The sequence below is a fragment of the Homo sapiens genome, chromosome 4, assembly GCF_000001405.40.
Source record: "Homo sapiens chromosome 4, GRCh38.p14 Primary Assembly".
Lineage (NCBI taxonomy): Eukaryota > Metazoa > Chordata > Mammalia > Primates > Hominidae > Homo > Homo sapiens.
In genome coordinates, this window is record NC_000004.12 from 184,845,049 (window position 1) to 184,856,674 (window position 11,626).

General features: G+C 43.8%; 1 long non-coding RNA gene and 1 other non-coding gene across 2 annotated transcripts in view, besides 2 other annotated features; both read right to left on the minus strand.

Annotated features, from left to right (window-relative positions):
• MIR3945HG (MIR3945 host gene) overlaps nt 1-10,604 on the minus strand; it is a 12,357-nt gene extending 1,753 nt beyond the window's left edge. Inside the window, exons 1-2 of the long non-coding RNA NR_132989.1 lie at nt 10,421-10,604; nt 5,447-5,551 (exon numbers count right to left, since the gene is read on the minus strand). This is a non-coding gene — a long non-coding RNA (MIR3945 host gene). The remainder of the gene's footprint in view (nt 1-5,446; nt 5,552-10,420) is intronic.
• Nucleotides 4,374-4,443: a silencer, noted in NCBI's record as "silent region_15845". NCBI's record gives its function as "represses an Ori minimal core promoter by ATAC-STARR-seq in GM12878 lymphoblastoid cells {active_cell/tissue: GM12878}" and the evidence as "EXISTENCE:reporter gene assay evidence [ECO:0000049][PMID:35858748]".
• Nucleotides 5,512-5,581: an enhancer, noted in NCBI's record as "active region_22243". NCBI's record gives its function as "activates an Ori minimal core promoter by ATAC-STARR-seq in GM12878 lymphoblastoid cells {active_cell/tissue: GM12878}" and the evidence as "EXISTENCE:reporter gene assay evidence [ECO:0000049][PMID:35858748]".
• Nucleotides 5,965-6,062, minus strand: MIR3945 (microRNA 3945). The gene has a single exon (NR_037510.1). It is a non-coding gene; the product is annotated as a microRNA 3945 (primary transcript).
• Nucleotides 10,605-11,626: the final 1,022 nt, after the last annotated feature.

Below are 11,626 nucleotides of genomic sequence, written 5' to 3' on the forward strand. Positions count from 1 at the left end.
ATGAAGGAGAGGAAAGGTTGTATGGAGGCCTCCTTGGCTCTAGGGAAAGTTCAGCAAGGCAGAAGAGAAGTGCTGAGACAACATTCTAGGCAGAGGAGCCCCATGTCTCTCAGGAAGGGGGCTGCCTAGTGCCCCTGCCATGCCCCATCACGGGTGGGGAGCAGCCCATGGAAAGGGGGGGTCTCAGCACAGGCCAGGATGGATTCAGAGCATGGAGTGGCAGCTGGTGCCCTGGGCCAGATGCGCTCCCAGCTGGAGGCACTTTCTCACAACTGCTGTGTAGGCCTGGGTCCACGTTGTTTCATGAGGAAAAGCCATGCGGGTGCTGCCTGGCACATATGTAGAGCAAGTGCCATATGACACGGTGGAAGGTGCCCTGGAATTGGCATCAATGTCCCAGGTCAAGTCCCTGATCCGTCACTTATTATTAGTTCATGATCTTAGGTGAGTCACTAAACCTCTCAGAGCCTTGGTTTCTTGATCTTAAAACAATACCTGTCTTACAGTATGGTTGTAGAGTGAAACTAGCTCTTGTGAGAAAGAGTGCTTTGTATAATGTTGACACAAATGCACACGTGGTAACAAAAGCAACAAAGCACAACTATTAAAGACCAATGACAGGAGCTCTGGAATTTTGCTATAAGCAGTCTGTGGCAATGATAGAGATTTGTCTGTCTCTGTGGTTATACTTGCACGAAACTGCACACCATGCCAGTATACAAATTCCACAGTGTCTCAGTCATTTAGCAGATGTCAGTTGACTTGACTGTTCTGGGCAGGTATTTATACAAATAAAAAAATAAAAAGCATTTCAGAAAACCCTATTTTTTTTTTAAACAAAAGATGGCTTTTCCACAGCTGCTAAATAATTCAAAGTCAGCAGTAATTCATAGTGAGTCAGCGGTAGCTTCTTACTGCTTCCCACTGCTTTTTTTCCTTTTCTGCTTGTAAGATGAAGACACTGGCGATGAAAGGGCTGAGATGTTTTAGTTCCCGGAAGTCCCTTGGTCTTTTTTTTTTTTTTTCTTTTGAGATGGGGTCTCTCTCTGTCTCCCAGACTGGAGTGCAGTGGTGCAATCTCGGCTCACCACAACCTCCACCCCCGGTGTTCAAGCAATTCTCCTGCCTCAGCCTCCCAAGTAGCTGGGATTACGGGCACGTGTCACCACGCCCGGCTAATTTTGTATTTTTAGTAGAGACGGGGTTTCTCCATGTTGGTCAGGCTGGTCTCGAACTCCTGACCTCAAGTGATCCACCCGCCTCGGCCTCCCAAAGTGCTGGGATTACAGGCGTGAGCCACCGTGCCTGGCCGCTTGGGTTTTGTGCTAGCGAAATATTGAGATCTGTAGGCTGTGGAGCAACCTGTTAGCGATGATGGGTGAGTTCACAGGCAGAGGCAGTAGCTCCAAGGCCTCAACCAGAGACCCAGATCCCAGGGCAGTGTCACTCATTTTGTCAACGATTCTAGGGGATGGGGAGACAGGAGCTGGAAAAATAAACCAGAAAGACTTCATGGGTTTATTTCTAAATAGATGAAGGTTACAGAGCAAGGTAAATTTTATGCAGGAAAAACGGGTGGCAGTAGATGATCTAGTGTTAGAATCTCAGCATGGCCCTGGGGCTGGGAGCAAATGAAATTAGACGTGGGATTAGTGGGAACCAGGTAGCCAAGGGTGGAGGCCTAACCAGAATTGAGTGATTCACACCATTAACAATGACCAGCTGTGAAGAAGCAGATCACCCCACCTGAGGACAGCCCCGAAGGAAGAGGTGCTTTTACCACCACCCAAGGATGAAAGCAGTGATTTCTCCTTCAAATCCAGCCCCAAAGCTGTGGCTCTCCTCACCAGTTTTCCTTTCCTTCTGGCCATGCAACCTCTTCTGCTCCATGGCCAGTTCAGAGGACACATGACTCCAGCAGGAGGGGACAAACCAGTCACCATTCAGGAGCCTGAATAACCAGGGCTTCTGACACCGTGGGCCTCAGACTACCCACATCAGCACCACGTGGGCAGCTTGTTAAGGAGGCGACTGCATGAGCCCACCCAGATCTGCCTGTTCAGAATGTCTGGAAGGGGACTCCAGAACCTGTGTGCCCCTCCCGCATCTTCCTCAAGGCATTGTTTTGCACACAAACATGTAAGAATCACCGGGCGTGGTGGCTCGCACCTGTAATCCCAGCACTTTGGGAGTCCGAGGAGAGAGGATCACGAGGTCAGGAGTTTGAGACCAGCCTGGCCAACATGATGAAACCCTGTCTCTACTAAAAATATAAAAATCAGCTGGGCATGGTGGCCCATGCCCATAATCCTAGCTACTCGGGAGGCTGAGGCAGAAAAATGGCTTGAACCTGGGAGGCAGAGGTTGCAGTGAGCTGAGATCCCGCTACTGCATTCCAGCCTGGGCAACAAGAGCAAAACTCCGTCTCAAAAAAAAAAAAAAAATTGTGAGACCCAATTAAATGATCTCTAAGCTGCCAGATCAAAAACACTGTGACTTCAGAATCCCAGTTTAAGAAAAATGATCTTATTTCTCAGTAATTTATAATTTTAAAGGTTTAATCTTCTTTCTCCCCTAAGTATTATCTCTCCGTCTTTAAGTCCCAACAAATTATTTATAAAATAATGTATGGGCTGGGCGCGGTAGCTCACACCTGTAATCCCAGCACTTTGGGAGGCCGAGATGGGTGGATCACCTGAGGTCAGGAGTTCGAGACCAGCCTGGCCAACATGAAGAAACTCCGTCTCTACTAAAAATACAAAAATTAGCTGGGTGTGGTGGCATGTGCCTGTAGTCCCAGCTACTCGGGAGGCTGAGGCAGGAGAATCACTTGAACCCAGGAGGCGGAGGTTGCAGTGAGCAGAGATTGCGTCATTGCACTCCAGCCTGGGGGACAAGAGTGAGACTTTGACTCAAAAATAGTAATAGTAATAATGATGATGATGTGTGAAGTTTACTATGTGCAAAAACCTATGTTTTGCATGGAGGAAAAATATATGAGGCACCCTGCCCTTAAGGTGCTTCTAGGCTAGAAGAGGAGCTGAAAAGGTGTGGAACCAACTTTGCCACAAGGCAGAGAGTGCTCCCAGGGCTGATAATCCAGGAAGGGGTCAGTTGATAAATATCCTAAATCTCAATCCTGGCAATAAGTACTGTATAAAAGATAGAATCAAAGGTCTCCAGGATTTCAGAAGAGGGAGATAGGAAAGCCGGCGGGGGCAGTGAGAGAAGCTTTAGAGAGGAAGCAGCATTTGAGAGAGGACTTTAAGGATAAGTCGTATTTCAGTAGGCAGAAAACATTCTGGAAGAGATGGCATGAGAAAGCCATAGTGGTGGGGAATTGCAAAGTGTACTGCAGAACAGGGGGAAGCTCATTTTGGCGTGAGTGGAGAGGGATTTCACTGGAAAGCTGGGATGGTGTATCAGTTATCAGTTGCTGCATAATACACCAGTCCAAAATCTAAAGGCTTAAAACAACAATAGTCATTTCTTTTGCTCATGGATCTACAGCTTGTCTGTGTTCCACCCTGTCAGCTTAATGGGACCTGGAGAGACCACTTTCAAAGTGGCTCCCTCACATGGCTGGGAAGTTGGAGGGAGCTGTCTGTTCCTTTTGTGGGCTTCTCTATGGCTTGAATTTCCTCACAGCAGTTTGATTTCAAGAGAGCCAAGTGAAAGCTGTATTGCCACTTATGACGTAGCTCTTGGAGTCATAGTATCACTTCTGCTGCGGTCACAAGACGACATCCAAATTCAAAGAGAGGGAGCAAAGTGTCCTCTCAGTGGAGGAGTGTCAGAGTCACCATAAGAAGAGAATGTGGGAAGGGAGGTATTATTGTAGCCAATTTTGGAAAATACATGTAAAACTCTTAACGCATGAAATACACAAAAACTCTAATCAGGCATTAAATAATAATATAAATTTAAAAAAAACACAAATTTCATTATATATCACAATAACCTTTCAAATAGGCAAAGCAAATATTATTTGTATTTTGCAAATAAAGGAACACAACTGAGAATTGGAGTAGAAAGGTGGATTTGCAATGAATTTAATGAAGTTTTCACTTTTAGAGCCCCTCACTAGCACTGACACCTTCTTCCGAGGCCCCAGAGGGGACCCAGAATTGTGTTCACATGGTCATATGTTTCGTAAATGTTCAGAGGTAAAGTATCTTTACTACAACTAGTTAAGTCTGCTGTACCTTCACTTCAGCCTCCCTTCCATCACATCCCCTTGCGTCAGGTGTTACTGGGCATTTTGGAGACCCAGCTAAGGGGAAATTGAGTTATAGCTATATTTAGTTTTGGTGGAGTAGGTTATAATGATGTGGTTTTCAGTAACTTCAACACATGGTTAAGTTATTACTGGGCACCCCAGTGTAGAAATGACTTCCAGGAATACTCCTATGGCTTACTGACTAACTCAAACAGCATTGTGACACTAAAGTCCAGGACCAGAGGTCATACTGTGGTATGACTGTATCTCCTAGTACCCAGAATTCGCATGAAAATATATGGGTAGTGGAGAAAAACAAGGTTTGAAAAGTACATCGCCAGAAGCTAGTCTGTGGAGAATTCTTCCAATCAGATATAAAATTACAAGGACAATACCTTTGTGTATAGTTCTGGCTTTTAAAATCTTTTTAATGTTTCACATATTCAAAGAACAAACTTAAAATGAATAAGGTCCGGCAAGGTTACAGGATTAAGAGCAATGTACAAATATTAATTGTATTGTATACAGTAGCAATGAGCAAACCAAAAATGAAATTAAGAAAGTAATTTCACTTAAGATAAAAATTCTAAAATACTTAGAAGTAAATTTAACAAAGATGTACAAAACTTATACTGTGAAAACTACAAAGCTTTGTTGAAATAAATCAAAGAAGAAACCAAATAAATGTAAAAACAGTCTATGTTCATGGATTGGAAGATTTAATATTCTCAAGATGTCAGTGTTAACATAACAAGATGTGTGTTATACTTTAGTTTTTAAAAAATGGCCAAAAACGTGGTGGGATAGTTGAATATGATTCATCCTTCCCAGACCCACATGACCTGAACACTGTGATGCGTTATAATGGCAGGGAGAGGAATTTTGGATTCAACCTGATCTGAATTGGAACCCTGGCTTTATTATTTACTAATGTATGTCTTTCCTCATTTTTTCTTGATGTTGCTGGTTCTGATTTTCTTCATTTGCTCAATAAGGATGATAAATAGCTACTCCTCAGGGTTGCTGTGGGGATCAGATATGATACGAGTAAAGGGCTGGCACTACTGGTTTCCTAAACCCAACTCCCTTCCATCTTGCCCATGTCCCATGCAGGTATTGGAAAACCCAAGCATTGACTCTCCAGACCAGCCTCGCACCTAAGAACGCCGTGGGATGCAGTTTCAGACAGTGAGAAATCTGCTGGGGATGCCTGGGAAAGGGACATACCTGGCAGGTGCCGCTCCATGGCCTTCTTGCTGCCTTGAATTGGGACATGAGCCTGAGTCGCAGCAGCCGTCTTGTGACTGAGAGGTGGCAAGCAGGAGGAAGAGGCTAAGAGAATAGAGACACTGTTGAGCTGCTGAAGCACAGCAAGCGGCCACTTCTCTATGCTTCTTGCTATTTGACTGTTAAGCTAGTGCAAGTTACTTTTCTGGTCAGAATGAATTCATAACTGAAACATGCTTTAAAGTATGACTATTATTATTAAATGCAGCATAAGCTTTCCATAGCTGCTACACGATCACACCCACTGCTGTCTCAGACTGACCAGTGGCCGACTAAACATGACAGCAAGTACTGTTGCCAGCCTCTGCCTTCTTATACTTGTGGAGTTTGTTTAAATCTAAATTCAGGACTCACCCTGTTAAATTTTATCTCCTTAGCTTGTCCCCTTCTTTTCAGAGATTTGCAATTCAAATTAGTATTATAACCTCAATTGATATATGGCTGTGGACCAGTCAGGAATCATTGAATCATCCCCCACTTTGGAAAGCATAAGAGGCTGTAATTGCATTTTATATCAACCCTCTCCTATGCCCTCCCCGTCACGTGCATCAACATCTCTTTTCTCTCAGAAAGACCTCATCTTATTTGAGGTGATATTTGAGTACATAGTTCCTTTTAGGGTACTGGGGACCTTTTTGGTGGTAGGGTGGAGAGTGTGCACCACAGAGACTAGTCACCAAGAGTCCCTGCAGTTAAGTCTGCGTATCCTGTGCTGGTGAAGGGTGGATGGGCTTTATGCAAATCTCTGCTTGGCTGCAGAATCTCCCAGTGAGATGAGCAAGGGTGCTTTGCAGTCAGTGTTGAAACCCCAGAAGAGCAGGAAATGATGCTGTTCCTGCCCAAAGGCAGAATGAAATGCAAGGAAAGGAGAAAAACATTATGACATAAGTATTAAGAAAGATGCTGTTTACGGGAACTCTGAAAGACTGGAATTCAGAGCCGCTACCAATTAAGAAAGTTAATGATGACTTGCAGCAGGTTTGCAGAAAGTGAAAGGAAGGTGAGGCTATTTAATTGCCACCATAACAGAAGAACTTGTAGAAAATAGGAATGGGATCACAATCATTATTAACTCATAAAAAATTTATAGGGTGCCATTTCTAATACGACACTGTGCAGGGATACTGCAGTCTAGCGTTACCTCCAGTTTAGACAGGCTGAAATACATACAGTTTCTCATCTGTATGAGATAAGGTGATATAAAATGAAGCTGATCGGGCTAGTTTATTGGATAAAACCAACAACGAAGGGAAATAAGTAACTATTTATACAACATGGTAACTATCTACATTGTTCATTAGCAGACGATGTTTGTAACTGGAGATGAAATGCATTAAGCATGTTTGGGAAAGGAATAAATGGGATGTAACCATGGAAGTCCTATGCTTAACCAGGGTGGGGAGGGGGGCAGGGATATAGAGAACTTCAACTAGACAGGCCTGGTGGAGAAAGTGTGTGTCTAAGAATTACTTGCAAAGTGAGCTGTGTCAGGGAGCATCCTGGTGCATGCTCCAAGATATGTTGGATAACAGTTGAGTACAACTCATGATGGAATTACAAAACTCCAAGATACAGTTGGATAGTTGGGTAACAGTTGAGCATCACCATGATGGAAGAGATGAAGAGACTTTTTGAATGTGTTTGAGAGGAGTGAAATGAATCCTACAATGATAATAATAATAATTGCTATTATTTTTTCAGACACGTGTGAAACCAGAAAAAAATAAATTAGGTGAAAGAATCTTCATTCCTGGTGACACCTTAGAAGAAGAAACAGACAATCTTGGATGGATTTGTTAAAGATCAGAGGATCCATAATGTCATGCAAAATGGTGGGATTGGGGGCAAACAGATCAAGTTGATGAGTGGGGTTAGCAACAGTGAGACCTGAAAGAGAAAACAAGTTAACAGAAGCCAGACTAAGTGCAGGACTAACCTGCACCCTAAGAGGGTGCAGGCTCAGGAACCAGTCCATGAGGAGTTGCACCATAGTAAGGGGTAGAGATGAACTGAAGCTCGCTCATGATTACCAGCGGTATTGGCCTCTCCAAGAACTAAAAATAACCTCCTTCTTTGTCTTGCTGTTACTTCCAAGCCACAGCCGAGTTCTCTCTCTATACTTACACCTCAGATGAATGAGCAGTGCCTGTGGCTGTGGCCAGTGTCTTTTATTCCCACCTGGTTCCTCCCAGTCTGTGTTCCATGTTGTCACTGCCCCAACTGCACAAGCCTTTTCCTAGTCCTCAATCTTTTCTCCCCACAGCAGCCCTGGGCACAGTAGACCTCCCTAGCCTTTTGAGGAACCTCTTCTGTTACCTGACTGCTGTGGTCTACGTGACCATCTTACCTCTTCCTCTGCATTTTCCTTGTGTCTGTCACTGACTCTCTCCCGTGTCCCGCTCCCCAACTGTGGGTGCCCCAGATGTGTCAATCCTCATTCTCCGATCTTCTCTCTTTATACTAGATTCTAATTCACCTTTATTCATCTATACTCCCAGAGTCAAGTTTTGATTATGTATATATAACCAAATGGCATATAACTCTATCTATCTATCTATCTATCTATCTATCTATCTATGCCATCTCATTTCATGTCTTCACGAAATATCTGTTAGCTGTTTTTCTCCAGATTATCATCCTTCCTTAAGTGCTGTTGTGGTAGCAGTGGTGGTGGTAGTAGCAGTAGTAACAGCAACAACCTCTATCATATAGTAAATGCTAACTATATCTCAGGTGCTTTAGTAAAATCTCATTTAAGCCTTTCAATGTTATACATTGATATTGCTGTTGAACACATTTTATAGAGGAGGAAACAATCTCAGCAGGTTTAACGGTGGTTCCCAGTCACACAGCTAACACAGAACACGGCCTTGAACTCAGATTTTGTCTGACTAAAGTTTGTCATCCTATTTCTGTGCTAAAGCTTCTACAGCAGTCCCTGTTGCTTACCAGGTGAGGCCCAGCATCCTCACGGACCATCCCGGATCTCCGTAACGTAGCTCCACTGATCTGCTCCAGTGACTGCCTTCTGCTCCCAGAGTGGCACCTCCTTAACCACCCTCACCTTCCTACGCAGTGAATGAAGTGCAGACATGAATCCTGAGTCTGCCATTTAGTACTTCTCTAAAACTGACTTCTTGTATTTGTAAAATACCCGCCTCACAATCTCAGGATTGCTGTGAGCATCGTATATAATGAGTGCAAAGGGCCCGGCATAGTGCAAGGGACATGATAGGTGCATAACGAATAGGACCCACTGAGGCTGTTACTCATATTTCTGCTCTTGTGCCTTGTTCGTGTTATTCTCTACATATGAAATGTTTGTACTTCCTATTGCTCTGGCCTGACAGTCCTTAAGGGCTAAATTCCATCTTTACTAAATGTTTCCTTGGCTCTAACACACATTGATCTCTCCCCTCCCCAATTCTGAATGCACTTTCTTTTTTCTTTTTTTTTTTTTTGAGACAGAGTCTCGCTCTGTCGCCCAGCCTGGAGTGCAGTGGCGCGATCTCGGCTCACTGCAAGCTCCGCCTCCCGGGTTCATGCCATTCTCCTGCCTCAGCCTCCCGAGTAGCTGGGACTACAGGCGCCCACCACCACGCCCAGCTAATTTTTTGCATTTTTAGTAGAGACGGGGTTTCACCGTGTTAGCCAGGATGGTCTCGATCTCCTGACCTCGTGATCTGCCCGCCTCGGCCTCCCAAAGTGCTGGGATTACAGGCGTGAGCCACCGTGCCCGGCCCTCTGAATGCACTTTCTATATACACCAGGTGGCTGGTGTTATCTACTGTCTTATTCTTGAATGGCTTTGGGTAAGCGAGCCTCATAAGTTACTGGTGAGCTTGCTTGTATTGCTTCTGTGCTCCTCTCAAAGCTACTGGCACACTGTACCAAAGTGATTTGTTCATTGATTGATGGAGAAATGTAAACATTGGGACAAATCAGAGAGAAAAAAGGGCAAATTGGACATTATCTTGTTCGATTTCAGTTGGCAGTCAATGGTTTGTGTTCAAATTATCCTACAGAGGCTTGAACCAGGAGGGGAGGTTCAGAAAACAGATGGTGGGAAAGAGAACAGATCTCTGTATTATGGAGCTTTGACTTTAAAATTATTTCTCTTAAAGAAGAGATAGACCCAAAAGGAAATGATCTGAGATAAATTTCCAGGGACCAGTAAGACAGAAGTACCACTAAATATGAAGAGGCAGTGGACTGGGAATAATGAGAGAAGACCCAGGCAATCATGCCTGTAAGTTACGATAAAGAAAACAGGAAGCACATTTCGACAGAAAAACCATACTTTACATTAAAGAAGTGAGATTGTGTCTGTTGCAAGAGTGAGAGGGAAAGCCCGCAACGACCTCAGGGACCCAGTGAATTAGCTCACGGGAAGCCCAGGGCCTCTTTTGCTAGCTGCTAATGAAGGGAATTAGATAACCATGTTATTTTGAAAGAAAACAGATTATGTTTATTGAATGATCTAAAAGAAGCGAAAAGGGCTAGGTAAAGATGCCATGTTTTGGATTCTGATGTTGGGTCACACCAGGGCGCCCATTCTTCTGTATTCACAAAATGCCCAAATAGGGAGAGGTCTTGCCAGGCGCGTGAACTCGCCACTGTGGCTGAGCAACAAAGGTACATTGAAAGGAAGCGTGTGTGTTTGTGGCTTTGAGCCCCTTTTCCTATTCTGCTGAAGATTAGGAAATTATAGGTTATACTGCTTGAAATGAAGACAGAGTAAATGGTAGGAGGGTTGTAAATCACCTGCGAAGCACCGTCTTCGACCATGCCATATAGCAAGGCTACCCAAAACACTCCAGTCTCTAATTTGTTCAACTTAAAGAATAAGAGGGATATGTCAGTCAGGACCTGCTAACTGCTGTATCAGACAACCCCAGATCCCTAACGACTTACCTCACAGTCATCAGGGGCTAGACAAGTGACCTTCCACACGATAATTCAGAGATACTGCTCCTTTCCTGTAGTTCTCCAGTCCTCAGCACAGGGTCTCAAGATCATCTAGCATCGACCAGTCAGCAAATGTCGGAAGAGGAAAGATAGCTTCCTTAGTCCCTAAGAGACAGCATCTCGTTTTCACTACATTCCACTGGTGAGAACTACTCATATGGCCACACCTAGACACAGCGGTGACTGGAAAGTTAATTTGATTGTGTTTCCAGGAAAAGGAGATAGGCTTGGTGAGTCAGTCTCTCTAGAGGAAAATATGGAACTGGGTTGGATTAAAAAAAATCCAGGCTGGGCGCGGTGGCTCATGCCTGTAATCCCAGCACTTTGGGAGGCCAAGGCGGGTGGATCACCAGAGGTCAGGAGTTCGAGACCAGCGTGGCCAACATGGTAAAACTCCGTCTCGATTAAAAATTAAAAAAAAAAAATTAGCCGGGTGTGGTGGTGGGCGCCTGTAATCCCAGCTACTCAGGAGACTGAGGCAGGAGAATAGCTTGAACCCGGGAGGCAGAGGTTGTAGTGAGCTGAGACTGCACCACTGCACTCCAGCCTGGGTGACAGAGTGAGACTCCGTCTCAAAAAAAAAAAAAAAAAAAAAAAATTCAGGTAATGATTTATATGTTTCTATCAAGCAATATGCCTATAAACATGGAATGATTGAATTTTCAGTTTCAAATACATGTTTTGGGTTGTGAAGACTCAAAAAGCTTGTGGGTCTCTTTGTTTTTGTCAAAGTATATGAATAAACGAGGATTGCAGAAGTTTACTTGTGGAATGAATGCATTAGTAAATTAATGAAGCTTTCTCCTGTACTGAAAGAAGAGTATAAGGTCATGACTCATGGTCATGAGGTAGGAAATAATTCTGCTCACCAAGAAACAAGGACATTTTAAATATCTAAAAAAGCAGAAATGAGAAAGGAAGCATGAAAAATAATCATTTAGCCAACAGTTACAGCACCTACTGACAGACAGAAAGTACAGGGCATTGACATAGTTTAAATCCAGTGACTTCCGTTTTTCCTAATAGAATCAGAGTGATAATGCATTTTAAAGGTTATTTTTATTATTTCATGTCTCCAAACCATTTTCAGAGGGAAATTATCATGGCTGTCACAACAGTAGCTTAATACACAAGGTTGATGGTATTTTACAA